The sequence below is a fragment of the Homo sapiens genome, chromosome 2 (assembly GCF_000001405.40).
Source record: "Homo sapiens chromosome 2, GRCh38.p14 Primary Assembly".
NCBI classification, from domain to species: domain Eukaryota; kingdom Metazoa; phylum Chordata; class Mammalia; order Primates; family Hominidae; genus Homo; species Homo sapiens.
The window spans coordinates 194378601-194399028 of NC_000002.12; the positions used below are offsets into that span (position 1 = coordinate 194378601).

At 34.9% G+C, this 20428-nt stretch overlaps 2 long non-coding RNA genes across 2 annotated transcripts in view; one reads left to right on the top strand and one right to left on the bottom strand.

Annotated features, from left to right (window-relative positions):
- The window catches only part of LINC01821 (long intergenic non-protein coding RNA 1821), a 75363-nt gene that overhangs the window by 34332 nt on the left and 20603 nt on the right, over positions 1-20428 (top strand). The gene's annotated exons all lie outside the window — the stretch shown is intronic.
- On the bottom strand, positions 865-8258 carry LOC105373816 (uncharacterized). Its single transcript, XR_923732.3, has 4 exons — positions 8121-8258; positions 7067-7186; positions 3545-3594; positions 865-2832 (listed from the first exon to the last, which is right to left on the bottom strand). It is a non-coding gene; the product is annotated as an uncharacterized LOC105373816 (long non-coding RNA).

The following is a 20428-nucleotide window of genomic DNA, read 5'->3' on the forward strand; positions in this document are numbered from 1 at the left end:
TAAGGCGACTACTGGTAATACATAATGCTGAAGAAATGCTAAAAAAATATGATCGAACACATGCATTTTGTTATCACCTTCCCAGTTCCGGTAGGTTGCATTTCAGCAGGGATGGTGGGAAAAAAAGTCATATAAATTACCAATTAGTTTTTCAGGAAATTCTAGTGGCAGGTTGGCAAGGAATTTTTTTATTTGTTAGAGAGAAAGCTTGAGTTGACCCTGGGTAAATGGATATTGCCAAAGGAAATCAAACTTAAGTTGTTGAAAGTACATGTCAAAAAAGGCTGCCTGCAGGGACAAGGGCAGCCTTGGAGAAAAAGGCTGAAGGTGTATTACCTTGGATATGATTGATAAGAGGCTCACCAGTGGGAGCCCAGTTTGAATTGAACATAGCAATGATTCTTATAGCTGAAAATTCCCAAAAAGTCTTGGCATTTTTTTGACATGTCACCAACTATCAAAGAACTAGATCACAGACTGAGTCCAAAGGCAGTGGTAAGGAAAAAAAATGAAAAAGACAAAGAAAAAAATTTATCCCTATGCCTAAAAGTGCCAACTCTTTCAGAGAATTTGCATTTTGTACAATAAATAGTAATCACACAACCAAAGAAGTAAGTATTCTACTTTTAAGACTGAATAATAGATACCCTATTTTTTTTAACAAGGAGTTCTTCCTGATATCTTTTTAATCAGACTGTCAATTTCTCCAGGAAGTTTTTCTATTCTTTAGTACCATAGGCTCTGATAATGAGCCATACCAACTTGTTAACAATAAAGAAAACACATTGGAAATGAGTGTGTTTAGATTATATCACCAATTTTCATGTTTTAATTTCTTTTGTTAAAAGAAAAACTTCAGCCGAATTAAAGTTAAAGGAGTTTAATTGAGCAATAAACGATTTATGAATCAGACATCCCCCAGAATCACAGCAGATTCAGAGACTCTAGGGGTGCATCATGGTCAGAACAAATTTATAGACAAAAAAAGTAAAGTGATGTACAGAAATTGGAAGTGAGGTACAGGAATGGCTGGGTTGGTTACAGGTTGGCATTTGCCTTATTGGAACACAGTTTAAACACTCAGCAGGGTATGACTGGTTGAAATGTGGCTGCTGGGATTGGCCAAGACTCAGCTATTGTTACAGGTGCTACTCCTAAGTTAGGTTTTCAATTTTGTCTACCTATTAAGTAAGTTAGATTGCGTTCACCCACAAGGACTCAAATATAGAAGTATGAGATCCTTCTCAGGCCATATGTAGTTCACTTTAGCAATTCCCCTCTTTTGGTCATTTTCTCAATTTTGAGAGATTGAACAAAACTCTTGTCATTGATGTCAGTATCAACACCATAAGTGTACTTATTTGGTCTTTAAGCCCACTGGAAAATAGTAGAACAGTGAGTTTTGTAAAGGTAGGAGCAAGGACTTGAATAGAGGATACCTCCTTATGTTAGAACATCCTGTTTACAGGAGAAAAACAAAACCTGATCTGCTCTAGGCACAGTTAGTTAGCATGACCAACTTCATTTTAGTTTGGTTTCGTCTGTTGGGGTCTAGTGCATTAGCTTAGTCTAAAACAATGGTTTCTCATAATTTTGTTTTTAAAATTTCCCCTTTTTGGTCAGGTTCTCACTTTGGTGAAAGTGTGACCACAACTTAGGGCCTTAGCATCATTTTCAGTTACCATCATTTTGAGTTTCCTGTCTCAGCACCTCATTCATAGGTTACAGTGTCCTCATGGTTGTGTGCTTCTTTCAACTCTTGTAGTTCCAGTTAAAGACAGACCATTTGCCATTCTAGAGGTGGCAGAATGCAAACATTTAGAACCTTTGAGAAAATACAGTGTACCAGGGAAACTATTATTACTATCGGGAGGATAATACCAAGAGTTTGGAGTATGCTTCTTATTCAGACTCCCCATAAACCAAACCACCTAAAATCGAAAAGAGTAAAGAATGAGTTAGATAGGGAGTCTACTTGCTTAACTAGGTGATCTTTTTGTTTGTTAATATCCTACATCTGAATCTCTCTCTATAATCTTCATTTAATGTAGTTCTTCATAGGCCACAATTCAATTATTTAGCGTAACTTTCACAAGATAATTTAATAAGTCTGTTGTGTGACCACAGCCTTTACAGTAGAATCTGCTATAGAACCTATCATGAGGGATACATTTCTGGTTATTACCTCTTTTACTCCAAACGATGGAAAAATGATGCCCTTCTAGAAGAATGAAGGCCTCCTAGCAATCAATATTCTCTTTAATCCTTGATGTGGGTAAGAATAGTAAATCAATGTTCTGTTTCTGACTGAATATGAAGAAAAGTATGTACCATTAAAGTTTCTCACCTGCATTGGGCCTTCATCTTTTATCTATGTATAAGGCTGGCTACAAAATCCTTCACAGATAAAAGTATACCACATAAGTGCACTAAACAGACTCCTATCTTATTTCTATTACTCATAGAGGCATAAACAAGAAAAAAAGTTCAAAGATAAGAGTCTCATGATAGTAGAGAAGTCTTGATCCGTGATCTTGGGAAAAGCTGTTCACATCAAGCATGCAATCTTCTTCTGGGGAGAGACATTCCTGTTTAACTGGACCTTAAGGGTTCCAATGGGTGTACAGTTCCATGAGTGTGGAGGGACCCTTCTCAGTTGTGAGATTATGAACCCACAGTTCAAGTTCCAAAGTTTTATTGCAGTAGGGATGGCAAAGCAATCTTTCCCTGATGTTTTCAGATGATCCAGTCTTCAGGTTCTAGATTGTGAAGGGGTTGGCTGTCCTCAGTGAACCATAAAAAACTCATTTTGCTTTACCTGGTGAAAATACACTGAAGCATAAGAATTTACTGTTATAACATCAGCCCTCTTACATGGGAGACCTTTATAGAATCAGAAAACATGCATAGAAAATGACCATTGAATGAAACCCCCTTATAAAATGTTTAAAATGTACTTGAAGCTTTGATTATTTTCTTAGGAATATGGGCTTGACAAACCAAACAATGGTTATAAGCTATTTTAGCAATTTATAAGTTACCACACCAATATATTTGATTTAGATTATTTTATTTTTTCCATGATAAGTCACAGAATGCAGGACTTTTAATAATAAAAGTTTTAAGGGCTCAGGAAAGACAAGGCAGCTGTCCCGATTTTCCATGAGTCAATGCTTATCATTGGACCTATGTCCCGACCTATGTCCCCTTGAATAACAGTTATTTTTACAATTAGGTGCAAATAACTGATAACTGATGGGTTATCATAGGTAATATGACTTAGACCTTGGAGTTCATTCAAACTGTATATCTAAAAATTTCAGTATTGTCTGATGTAGCATGCAAGTTTGGCAAAGTATTTACTTGGCATTTAAATAATTGTCATTCTACTTGTGTTAGTAGTTTTATAAACCAGTCTTTTTATTAAAGTTTCAGGAATTCTTACCCTAAAGTTTCAGGAATTCTTACCCAGTCCAATTCTTGGGGAATTGGAGAATTCATGGGAAATTCTTACACATGATATGATTTTATATTTATTGGATACCTGTATTCAAGAGTGCTTTTCAGGGTCGTTTCCATCCTTTAATGAACCTCCTAAAAGATACCATATGAAAGGATTTTATGTGAAGTTTTCAGGAACTGCATCAGCATTAAGCAATTAACTGTGGAAATGCCTTTAAATGGTTAAAGACACAATAGACAAGGAAATTTGATTATATCTGTGGTCTACAAAAACTTAACCATAATTATGATAGATAACAAATACTCAGACATAGTAGAATTTTAGAAATCCCATACAATTTTGGAATATATTGATGACATATGCTAAAATATAAACTGAAGAAGGTTAAACATTCTCTCTTATTTTGACACTGCTTCCCATGCAACCTAGCATATCAAATAGCCCTGTTTGTTTACCTCTCTTTTGGGTGCTTCAGGGGCCCTCTCTAGCACCCTAAAGTTAGAGGTCAGAAAAGATAATTTTGATGCTGAAACTTGACTTTGGGAAGCCTATCAGATATGCTAAAGGTCTAAAACATTTGATATTATGAAATAGAATTCCAGGTCACCATAAATCATTTATTTAGCCAAAATAACGACTCAAAAATTTTTTAAAAGGCAAAAATCTTTACTCATTGAGAGAGGGAAGACTTAGCTTTCCAAATAATCTGTCTCTTCTCTTTCCCTTCTTTTTTCAGTAATTTATTCAAAAGGCAAAGAAAAATTTATCATTATGCTTTAATATTACATGGAAATCTTGTTCGAGAGACAGCCAAATATCACCCTTGCATTAGTCTACTATTAATGTCTACTTCAATTTTTAATAAAACCTTATAGACAAATCTATCCAATCTTAATCAGTTTTACCATAAGGTGAGATTCTCATAAACATATTATAACCTTTTATAATTTGTGTGAAAGAGCAGATTGGTGCTCTAAGAAAAACCTGCTGTGTTTTTATTCCAATGTTCAATTTAGAGAAAAACTTAATAACACCCCTTTAACTTTAGCTAATGTTCACACAGAATTTCTTTTTACAAGATTATTTTTTCATAAGCCTTCTACAACTTTTTCAAATATTTATCTTTATTTTATCAAATTTAAAACAATTCTTTAGGCTTGTAATCTAGGCAAAAGCATCCACATTTTCATGCCTTCTTATAATTTTGTACCAAAAACACATTTCACTTTCCTTACACACCTTGCATGTAAAACTGTTTGTTTTTTTTTAGTAATCTGAATTACATGCTACAATGTTAACTCTTAGAGACTTTTACTTCTGGTGAAAAACTTGGGAAGTAGGAAATTTTAATTATGTACTAGGTGTGAAGCCTAGGACACAGACAGAAGTGCAGATAAGGTCTGACTCTTTCCAGCCTTTCCAGAGTAGTTTAGTTAAGAGGAGTGTCTAACTTCACCACTTGTCACATGCCTTACCTAGCTGTAAAGCAGGCAAGTTGTACAACATTTTTTGCATAAATTCTCTTTCACAAATTCTTTCATGACTTATGCAGACCATCTACGACATGCTTGGACTTTCTGACTTGCCTTAACTATCCCTCTTTTAAAAAAACTAGTCATTTTACTTCAGGACAAGAATTTGCCACACAAGAAAGATCTTTTCTTATATAAAATCTCTTTTGTTTATAACCTTATTTGTATGGCTAGGGGAGATGGCTAATTCCACATTTCCCAGGACTTATCTAGAGTCTAGTGCTCCAAAATATGTAAACTGAACAATTTTCAAAAGTCAAAGAAGCAGTTTATAACCTTAAGGTGTTTAGCAAATCTAATATGTGACCTGCATAATCTAGACCAAATGTTTACATTTTTGAAGATATTTTTATTTAACAAATCATCTTTAAAACTGTCTTTAGTTCCCAAAGATTACTAAAGTCACATAAACTAAAAGGCATTAGTTTTTACTTGTTTTTCAAAATACTTGATCTAACTACTTATTTTTCTTTAAGCCAATTAATTAGAGCTCTTTTATATAAACATCACACACACACAACACATATATAACTACACAGAAGAAGATCCAGTAATTGTAGAATTTTTCATTTGCCAGTTTTTAAGTTTTTTCATTGAATTATTAACTTTAAGGTGGAGTCCTTTTAAATCTCTTATTACCTCACTTTAGCCATGCCAAACTGCCAATATATCTGGCTTTTGAACTTTATCAAAAGTAACCTCCCAGGTTCTTAGACAAAGGAAAATTCAAGACAGTTCATGAAGATGAAGAGAATTAACAAATGGTAAAAGTCATGCAGATATCAAGCCAGAAAAGATTCATTTCCTAAGCCACGAATTGAACCCTGGCTGCCATTGTGATGGTGGAGACAAAGAGAAAGTACTACCACATGGTTAAAAGGTGAAGCTCCCTAGAACATAACTGAACAGTTTGCTGGGCCATCTTGATCAGTGGGCTTATAGGTGTCCTAAGCTCTCATTCTATGCTAAGGTACCCCTCTTTATGACAGAAAGATACAGAAGATGAATTCATAGTACAAAGTAAACCATATTCACTACAGCTTAAGATTAGCCTCAAAATTCTTTTTTACATTGATTAAAACTTTATAGAGGAGATAAAGAGTGATTTTTACCATTCATTAAACCAGTTGGCAGAGAGAGAGAGTGAGGTCAGCAGTCTAACTGGTAAGAAATTCTTACTTTTTTGCTGGCATGTCATGACCTGCGTTCCCCTTTCCCGAGCAGCCCTAGTGACCCTGCTTGCTACACTTTAGTTCCAGGAGCGAAGCTGCATCACAAAGAAAAATCATGAAACCACAGGCAAAATCTTCTCAGTTTTGCAAAATGCTTCCCAAGGGGTTGTATGGGATAACCAAATTAGCATTTTCCATTCTGGTCAGTGCAAAATATGAGTGACAAATATAGACATTAATTAGCCACTCTGCTTAGCACCCAATATCAAACTAGGAAGGCTCAAACTTGCCCCTAGATGGGCCCCATCATATCTAAATCATTTTAGAAGCTTCTGCATATTAATAGGCATCCCTAGGTGAGACTAATTTGCAAGCTCTCATTTTTAAATACACTTGTGTGTTGTTCATTTGGCACATTCCACTGTAAGTTTTCTTTAGTAAGATTTCACCATTTCTGTAAGACTTTGCTGCTTCCTGGGCCTAATGTATAAGCTGGAAGAAACCCAGTTTTTCAGAAATTAATTATCCATTTTTACCTAATTTATTGGCTTTGCTTTCAGGTTCCCTTGACTAATTCACCCAATGATTTTCTTCCTACTTAAGCATGTGAGAAAAATGAAACAAAGGGGTAGAATGCAAAAATCCCTATGAATTTTCAAAAGCCAAATCTTACAACCCTGCAATATTACCACTTACTACCAGTTTCTTTCTGACCCAGTCAGATGTAAGAGGCCTCTAACTGGATCCAAGCCAGTTAATTACAAGATCAAATTTGATCCTGGACTCAGTCCAGCTTCTGTCATGACTTCCAAACCCAATTTGGAACAGAAATTTGCTCAAATAAACTTGGAGAGCTCAAAACACAAATCCATGGAGCTCTGAAATTCAAGAGGACTTACCACAATTCCCAACTGCTCTGAGAGTTCAAAGGACACAGTGGGTCCAGCAGGTCTCTTGCTTGTTCACTCTGCTCATGGGAGTTGTTAGCAGCCGTACTTCAGACCCCATTTCTAACACACCTGTTTTTAAAAAAAAGCTTTCAGGCAAATTAAATTTAAAGGAGTTTAATTGAACAATTTGTGAATCAGGCAGCCCCCAGAATCACAACAGTTTGAGAGAGACTCCGGGGGTGCCTTGTGGTAAGAACAAATTTATAGACAAAAAAAGTAAAGTGACATAAAAATCAGAAGTGAGTTACAGGAATAGCTGAATTGGTTATTATAAGAATGGGGGGGGCAGAAAAATTCTAGGCAGAAAAATTCAGGTACCCAACAAAACCCCATCCTCAAGCTGAAAAACCTAAAACTGTAGCTCAAAGTGAGAACTTTTATCCCTATTGTCTTTTCCTAAACTACCCATGGCCTACTCCACCCTACATCCTGTGCCTATAAAGACCCCAGACTCAGCTGTCAGAGAGGAGAAGCAGCTGGATGCTCGGGACTAAGGCTGGACACTGGAGAGAAACGGCTTGACTTCCGAGGGACAGCTTGATGGTGTAACTTCAGATAATAATCTAATCTAAAGGGGAAGATTCTTCAGGGGAAGATTACCTGCCTACCCCATACCTTTTTCAGCTCCCCTACCTGCTGAGAGCTACTTTTTTCAGCAATAAAATCCCACACATTTACTATCCTTCAATTTGTTCATTTGACCTCATTTTTTCTGGACATCAGACAAGAGCTCAGGAGCCACAAGTGGGGATACAAAAGGCTCTCACACTGGCCCTTTGCACTCATGGGAAGAACGCAGCTGCCTCAAGCATAAAAGTAGAGGGCCCACTGAGCTGTTAACACTTAAGCAATCTAGGGACAGCAAAGCTAAAGAGCACTGTTTTATGCCTTCTGGGGCTTCAGGGGTCACAGACACCTGCACTAGATTCTCCCACAGAGCCAACATGGAGTTTGCTCCTGCCAGCACCTAAAAGTACTTGCTGTGGCTCCTGCACTCACTCACCTGTGTGCTTCCTCCCGTGAAGGGTGAAACACAGCGGGTCCAAGTGAATGGAGTTTGTTTCTGTGGGTGCCAAAGATGCCAGCTGATTCCAGCCCTTGAGCACTCCAGTTCTTGCCTCATTTGCTCTCGCACTTCCTCCTGCAAAGAGTTGAGAGTGGCAGGCTGAGTAAAGGAGGTGAGACCCCTGTCGCGAGTCCCATGAAGGGGTAAGGGAAATCCTCCTTCAGGTACAGGTTGGTGTTTACCTTATTTGAATACAGTTTGTTTGAATACTCAGCAGTGTACGAGTGGTTGACATGTGGCTGCTGGGATTGGCCAAGACTCAGCTGTTGTTACAGGTACATACTCCTAAGTTAGGCTTTCAATCTTGTCTCCCTATTAAGTTAGGTTGCAGTTCATCCACAAGGATTCAAATATAGAAGTATGAAATCCTTGTCAGGTCATATTTAGTTTTTATTAACACTTTAAATGTACCTCAGAACCACCAATAAAGGAGAGCTAGGCTTGGTGGATGGAGTTCTGAGCTATAACCTAGTTTGATTACAAACAGCTTCTTTGATGGCTAATTATATGTTTAATGTTTTAGTATTTTTAAAAATAAAAGTTTTCAAGGCTAAATGCATTATAAAATTACTTGAAATAAATTAAAACTGGGAACAAAATAGGTTTACTCACATGGAATCATATAAATATTAAACAGAAGGTCAAGGATCAGTGATTACATGTAAAAAACAGTTTACAATGTATCTAAAAATAAGCATGTATTAATAACTGACAAGTTAACTGTTTTGTCCAAATAAATTATTGTATTAAAATAGTTTATTCTTCATTTCTAAGAGATGTGATTTGTAATTTAACAAAGAAGTGCCACTAAGAATCAGAGATTACAAGTGTCAAAACCAATTCACTACAATAAGAAAAAAAATGATTTGACGCAATTTCCTTATGTTGCTGAGACTCAATTTTTGTATTTTGTTTAATACATTTTTTGACGTTTTAATTGCATTTGAATTGGCTCATTTTAGTGAATGATTTTTTATTCATTCAGTCTAGTTTTCTCTGTTCCTCTTCAATTTCTTGTCTCAATTATATTCTGTGAAATGAAAGTCAACTAGATTTTGTATGCTGTGAAGCAGAACCAATGGTGCCAAATATAATTTTAACGTTATTGTCTATTCTTAATGTATAATTCAAATAATTAACGTTTTATGTTGTTGTGAAAATCTGCTACAAGGATAAATTAGTTTGTTGGTAGAAATTTGCTTTATTTTTCTGATTCATCCCTCCCTAAAGTGTTCACCTAATATAATTAAATTTTTTTTCTCATTGGAACAAAAACAAAAACTTAATATTATGAATTACATACTTATCAGTTATCAGTACAATAAATTATATTAGTCATGCAATTTACATTTCCAAAGTTTGCTTTGTAAGAGACATATTGTAAAGGAATGCATGATTTAAATATTACTTTTCTTGCAAAAAATTTAAATAAATATTTTAGTCATTTTAAGATATTAGCCAATCAAAGAAAACAAGCCTTATAAAAGTTCACATGTTAAAAATTCTTCTAGAATACAGAGTGAAATGACTTCCCTGCTTTTAGTATATTTTGAATTTGTGATGAGAAAAGACTCAAGAGGAAAATAAGCTGGGTTTAGTACAGCTCAACATCATCTCAAATATTTATGTACAATAGATGTTTCTTTGGGAAAACAGTTATTTGGGGTCCATTATTATTTGCTTTTTTGTAGACTGTATTTCAATTTAAAGAGCAGGTTATATTTAGAAGGAAGTAGTTATTTCATTTTTCTATTATCATTAGAAACATCACCTTTGGTGAAAAAAATTAAAAAGAGATTGTGGCAAATGGTCATAAATTTGGTCAGGGAAAAAGGTTATCTTAAGGTCAGGGAGTCAATCTGCTGTGGCTTCCCAGAGACGGCCAAAACTCTTCAAGTGATGCCAAGATGATAACTCCAGACAAGTTGAACCCACACAAGTATAGGGTAAGAAAGTGGTGATAAGACTTCAGTAAAAATTTCATAGTAAATCTTGCCTCAAAATCTAGACATGTACTGCTTTGTGGAATTAGGTGTATGAATACAAAAAGGCAAGTTAAAGTTTTTCAAATTTTGCTATTTATGTAAAAAAATTTTAAAGAATGCTATAATTGTATTGATGGCTTATTTTAGCATTAAAATACAGAGAGTTGTGGATATAAAATGTTGAGTACAAATACATACTACATTTTAATTTTCATGTTAAGAATTTATGCAGAAACTTTGGAGAAATATTTAAAGTTTATTTTTTCTGATATTTGATGTCAGTTATAATATAAAGAAAAATTATATTAAAATCAAGAGTTTTTAATTTCATTGTCATTTGCTTTGATTTTTAATAGTTTAATACACATTCAAAGGTTTCCCCTGAGAAATGTGTGTCACAGATGTGCAGCTTACTGTTCATATTAGTTATTCTCATATCAATTAATTTGCATGCCAGCTGTTCCTTTATTAAAATTTTCTTAAAAGTTATAAAAGATAGCAAAATGCTCAAGGCAGTAAGGAACTGAGCCTTCTTATTGTGCATAACACAGGTAGAGCTGAGATATTAAAAATATTTAACTTAAATTTTAAAACATTTTAAAAAATATATTTTGATTTTGAAAAATAAGACATGTTTGGATAAAACCAAAGTTGTAATCTCCAGCAGGTTTTTAAAAAATATTGGGTGTATACAAAATTATTAACCTGCTGTCTGTTGAAATGTGTGATCCTGTTAAAATTGCACACACATTTTGTGTCTGTGCATTCGAAGGGGCCAAGGGAAGAAAGGGAATGAGTCAGTTAGGTAATATTTAAGCTTTCAAAGGACTGAATCTTTGGTACAAATAGGGTTAAGATAACGGTGTTATTTCATATCTAATCCATTCATTGAGAAAATCTGTATTTTAAATATAAATATCCATTTTAAAATTCAAGTCAAGAAACTGTTGTGATGTACTTATTAATCAACTAAACAAAGAAGTACTTTTACAAATCACATCCTTATTCCACAAAGTTGGAGTTTGATTAAAAACAGCAAAATTTCACTTTGAAAGAAAACAAAAGAGGAGAGAGTAGTGCTGAAGCTAACCATATGCAACTAAAGGGAAAACTAGGGTGACAAAACTGATAATTATTTTATAGTCATTACTGTTAAAAAAAAAAAAAACAAAAAAGGCATGCTATATCCCAGACTGCAAACAAGCTATTGACATAGCTCTCCTGCAGTATAGAGAAATCCGCTTGAATTCATTTTTCCGTTGACAATTGCAAACAATATAATAGTTTGTGTAATTGGCTAATTGCAGGTTCGGTGAGCCTTGCTTGTTGTAAAATAATGATGGGCAGGTGGCTAATGGTTGTTAAAATTATTTCCACACACAATAAAATGTATGGGTTTAAAATTGAGGTTGTAAAGAGAAAAGTCATTCTTGTTAAATTCTGCCTTTAGTTATTTAACACAGATTTAACAAGTTTGTACAAAAGTATCAAAACCATTATATCTTGTAAAATGTCCTATTTTGCAAGAGATTTTTCACAATTATTTTCTCACAAAAGTTGTGGGAAAAAGTAGTGGGAAGTATCTTTATAAGCTAGGGAAGCATTTTTAGATTTCCCAACATGAGACATTTGTTAATTAATGTGTTAATTCAGATAAAAATACCAAATAATTGGCAACTACAAATTTGCTTTATTTTTGACAGAGTAACTTCAAACAGACATGGCGGCACTTGGGATTCTTTATAAGACCAGATAGAGAGTTCTAATGCGTCAGGTTAAAAACTATATAACTATATGCCAAAGAGCAAAAGTTCTGAGCAAAGCAACATGACATAAATGTTTTCTGAACAATATTCCTTTACTGAAAATAACACTAAGATTCTTAATTTCTTCAGAATATTTTGGGGCAGAAAACATGAAGTAATTAATGATCTGCATGGTTTTGTTAAATAAAAATTTTCATAAGCCTATTAAAATATCATTTATTAAAATATTGACATTATCTGTGTAGTACAATTGATTGTAGGTGGACTTCTTTTTTCATCAATCAATTTGTATTTGAAAATTTAGGATCACACATAACAATATTAACTTTAAATGTAAATGGACTACATGCTCCAATTAAAAGACACAGACTGGCAAATTGGATAAAGAGTCAAGACCCATCAGTGTGCTGTATTCAGGAAACTCATCTCACGTGCAGAGACACACATAGGCTCAAAATAAAAGGATGGAGGAAGATCCACCAAGCAAATGGAAAACAAAAAAAGGGCAGGGGTTGCAATCCTAGTCTCTGATAAAACAGACTTTAAACCAACAAAGATCAAAAGAGACAAAGAAGGCCATTACATAATGGTAAAGGGATCAATTCAACAAGAAGAGCTAACTATCCTAAATATATATGCACCCAATACAGGAGCACCCAGGTTCATAAAGCAAGTCCTGAGTGACCTACAAAGAGACTTAGACTCCCATGCAATAATAATGGGAGACTTTAACACTCCACTGTCAACATTAGACAGATCGACGAGACAGAAAGTTAACAAGGTTACCCAGGAATTGAACTCAGCTTTGCACCAAGTGGACCTAATAGACATCTACAGAACTCTCCAACCCAAATCAACAGAATACACATTTTTTTCAGCACCACACTACACCTATTCCAAAATTGACCACATAGTTGGAAGTAAAGCTCTCCTCAACAAATGTAAAAGATTAGAAATTATAACAAACTGTCTCTCAGACCACAGTGCAATCAAACTAGAACTCAGGATTAAGAAACTCACTCAAAACCACTCAACTACATGGAAACTGAACAACCTGCTCCTGAATGACTACTGGGTACATAATGAAATGAAGGCAGAAATAAAGATGTTCTTTGAAACCAATGAGAACAAAGACACAACATACCAGAATCTCTGGGACACATTCAAAGCAGTGTGTAGAGGGAAATTTATAGCACTAAATGCCCACAAGAGAAAGATCCAAAATTGACACCCTAACATCACAATTAAAAGAACTAGAAAAGCAAGAAAAAACACATTCAAAAGCTAGCAAAAGGCAAGAAATAACTAAGATCAGAGCAGAACTGAAGGAAATAGAGACACAAAAAACCCTTCAAAAAATTAATGTATCCAGGAGCTGGTTTTTTGAAAGGATCAACAAAATTGATAGATAGACCGCTAGCAAGACTAATAAAGAAAAAAAGAAGAATCAAATAGACGCAATAAAAAATCATTAAGGGGATATCACCACCGATCCCACAGAAATACAAATTACCATCAGAGAATACTACAAACACCTCTACGCAAATAAACTAGAAAATCTAGAAGAAATGGATAAATTCCTTGACACATACATCCTCCCAAGACTAAACCAGGAAGAAGTTGAATCACTGAATAGACCAATAACAGGATCTGAAAGTGTGGCAATAATCAATAGCTTACCAACCAAAAAGAGTCCAGGACCAGATGGATTCACAGCCGAATTCTACCAGAGATACAAGGAGGAACTGGTACCATTCCTTCTGAAACTATTCCAATCAATAGAAAAAGAAGGAATCCTCCCTAACTCATTCTATGATGCCAGCATCATCCTGATACCAAAGCTAGGCAGAGACACAACCAAAAAAGAGAATTTTAGACCAATATCCTTGATGAACATTGATGCAAAAATCCTCAATAAAATACTGGCAAACTGAATCCAGCAGGACATCAAAAAGCTTATCCACCATGATCAAGTGGGCTTCATCCCTGGGATGCAAGGCTGGTTCAATATACGCAAATCAATAAATGTAATCCAGCATATAAACAGAACCAAAGACAAAAACCACATGATTATCTCAATAGATGCAGAAAAGGCCTTTGACAAAATTCAACAACCCTTCATGCTAAAAACTCTCAAGAAATTAGGTATTGATGGGACATATCTCAAACTAATAAGAGCTATCTATGACAAACCCACAGCCAATATCATGCTGAATGGGCAAGAACTGGAAGCATTCCCTTTGAAAACTGGCACAAGACAGGGATGCCCTCTCTCACCACTCCTATTCAACATAGTGTTGGAAATTCTGGCCAGGGCAATTAGGCAGGAGAAGGAAATAAAGGGTATTCAATTAGGAAAAGAGGAAGTCAAATTGTCCCTGTTTGCAGATGACATGATTGTATATCTAGAAAACCCCATTGTCTCAGCTCAAAATCTCCTTAAGCTGATAAGCAACTTCAGCAAAGTCTCGGGATACAAAATCAATGCACAAAAATCACAAGCATTCTTATACACCAATAACAGACAAACAGAGAGCCAAATCATGAGTGAACTCCCATTCACAATTGCTTCAAAAAGAATAAAATACTTAGGAATCCAACTTACAAGGGATATGAAGGACCTCTTCAAGGAGAACTACAAACCACTGCTCAGTGAAATAAAAGAGGATACAAACAGATGGAAGAACATTCCATGCTCATGGGTAGGAAGAATCAATATCGTGAAAATGGCCATACTGCTCAAGGTAATTTATAGATTCAATGCCGTCCCCATCAAGCTACCAATGACTTTCTTCACAGAATTGGAAAAAACTACTTTAAAGTTCATATGGAACCAAAAAAGAGCCCGCATTGCCAAGTCAATCCTAAGCCAAAAGAACAAAGCTGGAGGCATCACGCCACCTGACTTCAAACTATACTACAAGGCTACAGTAACCAAAACAGCATGGTACTTGTACCAAAACAGAGATATAGATCAATGGAACAGAACAGAGCCCTCAGAAATAATGCCGCATATCTACAACTATCTGATCTTTGACAAACCTGAGAAAAACAAGCAATGGGGAAAGGATTCCCTATTTAATAAATGGTGCTGGGAAAACTGGCTAGCCATATGCAGAAAGCTGAAACTGGATCCCTTCCTTACACCTTATACAAAAATTAATTCAAGATGGATTAAAGACTTAAATGTTAGACCTAAAACCATAAAAACCCTAGAAGAAAACCTAGGCATTACCATTCAGGACATAGGCATGGACAAGGACTTCATGTCTAAAACACCAAAAGCAATGGCAAGAAAAGCCAAAATTGACAAATGGGATCTAATTAAACTAAAGAGCTTCTGCACAGCAAAAGAAACTACCATCAGAGTGAACAGGCAACCTACAGAATGGGAGAAAATTTTCACAACCTACTTATCTGACAAAGGGCTAATATCCAGAATCTACAATGAACTTAAACAAATTTACAAGAAAAAAACAACCCCATCAAAAAGCGGGCAAAGGATATGAACAGACACTTCTCAAAAGAAGACATTTATACAGCCAAAAGACACACGAAAAAATGCTCATCATCACTGGCCATCAGGGAAATGCAAATCAAAACCACAATGAGATACCATCTCACACCAGTTAGAATGGCAATCATTAAAAAGTCAGGAAACAACAGGTGCTGGAGAGGATGTGGAGAAATAGGAACACTTTTACACTGTTGGTGGGACTGTAAACTAGTTCAACCATTGTGGAAATCAGTGTGGCAATTCCTCAGGGATCTAGAACTAGAAATACCATTTGACCCAGCCATCCCATTACTGTGTATATACCCCAAGGACTATAAATCATGCTGCTATAAAGACACATGCACACGTATGTTTATTGCGGCACTATTCAAAATAGCAAAGACTTGCAACCAACCCAAATGTCCAACAATGATAGACTGGATTAAGAAAATGTGGCACATATACACCATGGAATACTATGCAGCCATAAAAAATGATGAGTTCATTTTCTTTGTAGGGACATGGATGAAATTGGAAATCATCATTCTCAGTAAACTGCCGCAAGGACAAAAAACCAAACACCGCATGTTCTCACTCATAGATGGGAATTGAACAATGAGAACACATGGACACAGGAAGGGGAACACCACACTCTGGGGACTGTTGTGGGGTGGGGGAAGGGGGGAGGTATAGCATTAGGAGATATACCTAATGCTAAATGACGAGTTAATGGATGCAGCACACCAGCATGGCACATGTATATATATGTAACTAACCTGCACATTGTGCACATGTACCCTAAAACTTAAAGTATAATAATAATTTAAAAAAAGATATATCAAAAAAAAGAAAATTTAGGATATAGAATTACAGTTGATTTGCCATCTTATTGGTGGTAATATATTTAAGTTTATGACATTTCCGTAAATAAAGCATTAGTCATTTTTCTTCCACATTCAGGAATGATAGTGAAGAATAATGTGTGTTGTAAGAAAATTCCCAAACCATGTTTTGAATGGAGTTTCCTTATTACTATCTTAATTCAATTTATCAGTATATATATACATATATATGAGTATGTGTATGCCTATATATGTGTACATATGTAAACATGTATAAAAATGTGTATATATACACATGTGTTATTTTATATCCATATATAATTAAATGTACATAAAATTTTAAAACATAAAATGTTTGTATAACTTTAAAGTATCTAATTCTCATTGTCAGGAATTTAAAGGGAATGTATCAAATAAGGTAAATGTTTGGTGGTCTATTTGGACAACAATTTGTTCAGGCTTTAGCTTTGCAATTTTGGAAACTTGTTTTTACCAAACATAAAGGGTTCTCTTTGAACAGTCTCAAACCATATAAATCAAAAAAGATCATTCTATGAATTAAGATGTCTAATTATTTTTATTTCATAATATCAAATGTAACCTTAAAGTAGGTTGAATACTCTGGTATAAATAATCTTCTGTAAAAGAGAAAGAAAAAGTCCACCAGAATCATTGATCTAATATGAAGGTCAGTGTGTCTGTGAGGGTGTTTCCAGAAGAGATTAGCATTTGAATTGGCAGAATGAATAAAGATCTCTCTCACCAATGTGAGTGAACATCATCTAATTCCTTGAAGGTCTGAATAGAAGAAAAAAGTGGAGGAAAGGTGAATTTGCTCTCGCTTGACCTGGGATATCCATTTTTTCCTAACCTCAGACATTGACGCTCCTTGTTCCCAGGGCCTTTGGACTTAGAATGAGACTTGGACCATTGGCTCTGTTGGTTGTCAGGCCTTTCGATTTGGGTTGGAATTACAGACGTTCCTGGGCTTTGCCTCTAACTTGCAGAGGACACACTATGGGGCTTCTTAGGATCTATAATTGCATTATAGATCGATTAGATAGATAATTACATATAATTGTAGAAACATAAAGAGACAATGTGTGATTCAGCACTTTTTTTATCTCCTTAAAGATCATGACTGCTCCAATGTCAGCAAATTTGAACACTTCTTTTTCTTTCTCCCTCTCTCTTCATGTGTGCTCATGTGTACAAATGCACATATATGTGTGTGCATAGATATATACATACATACAAGTAAATCATACACAAACACATAACAAGGTCTTTATATAATGATAATCATGAAATGCTAATAAATATTTCTAAATAAAGAGGTATTTTAAAAAAATCATTTGGGCTTTTTTCTTCCCTGATGTTTTTCAACAAGAGAATAATATACTTATTTTTAATGAAAACAAGAAAGTTATGATTTTTCAAAATTAAAGAACAAAGCCTATAACAGATGGACTACCTGGTGGAGAGTAGCAGCGCTGTGTCGTATATTAAAACACTAAGGATGAAGATAGAATGAGAAGAAGTAGCAGTGATCTCAGAAGCCTAGAGGGGCAATGCTCTATCTATCTATCTATCTATCTATCTATCTATCTATCTATCTATCATCTATCTATCATCTATCTCAGAACACAAACCTAAATAAATCAAATATTGACAGAACTGAAGGGAACAATAGCAATACAACAGAAGCAGGAGATTTCAATCCTCCACTTTTAATATTAAGCAGATCAACATAACAGAAACATCAACAAACAATGGACTTGAACAGTAGACCAAATGAACTTAACATATACGGAACATTCTACCCAACATCAGCTGACTATACATTCTTCTCAAGCAGTGACAGAAAATTCTCCAGGTTAGATCACATTAGGTCCCAAGACGAGTATTAACAAATTTAAGATGATTGAATTCATCCTAACTATCTTTTCAACCACAATGTAATGAAACTAGAAACTAGTTGTGGAAGGAAACAGGGGCATTCACAAGTATGTGAACTTTAAATAACATACTTTTGTCAACCAATAGGTGAAAGGAGAAATTAAAAAGGGAAATTAGAAAACAGGGAAAAAAGGGAAATTAGAAACATTTTACTTTTACATCTTGAGAGGAATATATAAGACACCAATACTTATGGGATGTGGCAAAAGCAGTGGTAAGCAGTACTAAGAGTGAAGCTTATTGCAATAAAAATTATAATTAAAAAGGAAAAGATCTCAAATAAACAACCTAACTGTACACATCAAGAAACTAGAAAAAGAATAACAAATTAATCCCAAAGTTAGTAGAAAGAAGCATGTAATAAAAATTACAGTGAAAATTAATGAAATAGAGATTAGGAAAACAATAGAAAAAAACTCAATGAAATAAGCTTTAGTTGTTCGAAAAGGTAAAGTTGACAAACAATAGACTATTTTTTTCTTTTTTCTTTTCTTTTTTTTTTTTTTGAGACAGAGTCTTGTTCTGTCACCCAGGCGGGAGTGCAGTGGCACAATCTCAGCTCACTGCAACCTCCGCCTCCCGGGTTCAAGTGATTCTCTTGTCCCAGCCTCCAGAGTAGCTGGGATTACAGGCATATACCACCACGCCTGGCTAATTTTTATATTTTTAGTAGAGATGGGGTTTCATCATGTTGGCCAAACTGGTCTAGAACTCCAGACCTCAGGTGATCCACCCACCTCGGCCTCCCAAATTGCTGGGATTACAGGTGTGAGCCACCATGCCCAGCCTAGACTAATTATTAAAGTACATTCAAATAAATAATTCAGAAATGAAAGCAGTGGCAATTAAGAAATGAAAGCAGTGACACTATTGTAACTGATACCATAGAAATAAAAAGTATCATAATAGATTTCTATGAATAATTATTCACCAATAAACTGAATAACTGAGAAGAAATGAATAAATTACTAGAAACCTACAAGCTGCTAACACAGTAACATGAAGAACTAGAAAGTCTGAACAGACCTATAACTAGAGAAAAGACTGATACAATAACAAAAACCGTCTCAAGGAAAAGCCCAGAACCAGATAACTTTACTGGTAAATTTACCACAAATTTGAAAAAGGTTTGTCAATCCTTCTCAAAGTAATATAATGTTAAAAAGAATGGTATCCTTTTGAACTCTTTTTATAAAGTCCGCATTATCGTGATACCAAAATGAGATAAAGATACTGAAATAAAGAAAAGAAACCTATAGGCCAACATCTCTGATAAATATATGCAAAAATCTTCAACAAAATAGTAGTAAATAAAAAAAAAATCATACACCATGACCATGTGATGTATCCCTGGAATACAAGAATATTTCAACATATGCAAATCAATTTATGTAATACCCCACATTCACAGATTCAAGAAAAAAAATCCTATTAAATTCTCAACAGATGCATTTTAATTTCAACACTCTTTCATGATAAAACTCCTGACTTAGTAGGTATAGAATGAGTGTTCTTCAACATGATAAAATTCATTGATGAGAAGTTCACAACTATCATCATAGTCAATACCAAAACTGAAAGTTTCTCCTCTAAGATCAGAAACAAGAGGATACCCGTGATCTCCACAATATTATTATTATTATTATTATTATTATTTTATTATTATTTGAGACAAGGTCTCACCCTGTAACTCAGGCTGGTGTGTCACCCAGGCACAATCACAGCTCACTGCAGCCTTGACCTCCCAGGCTCAGGCAATCTTTCCAAGTCAGCCTCCCAAGTAGCTGGGACTATAGGCCATGCAACAATGCCCAGCTAATTTTTAAAATTGTTTGTAAAGATAGGGTCTCATTAGGTTGCCCAGGCTGGTCTCAAACTCCTGGGCTCAAGCAATCCTCCTGCATCAGCCTCCCAAAGTGCTGGGATTACAGGCATGAGCCACCACACCTAGCCACTATCTCTTATTTCTATTCATTGTTGTACTAAAAGAAACAACAGAATTTGAATATGACAAATAGAAGTAAATTTATCTCTGTTTGCAGATGAAATAATCTTCTAAGTTGGAAACCCTTAAGATTAACAAAAAACTAATAGAACTAATAAATTTAGCAAAGTGGCAGAATAAAAAAATTAACATGCAAAATTAGTAGCATTTATCCACATGAATATTTAAAAATTAAGAAAAAAATCTCATTTA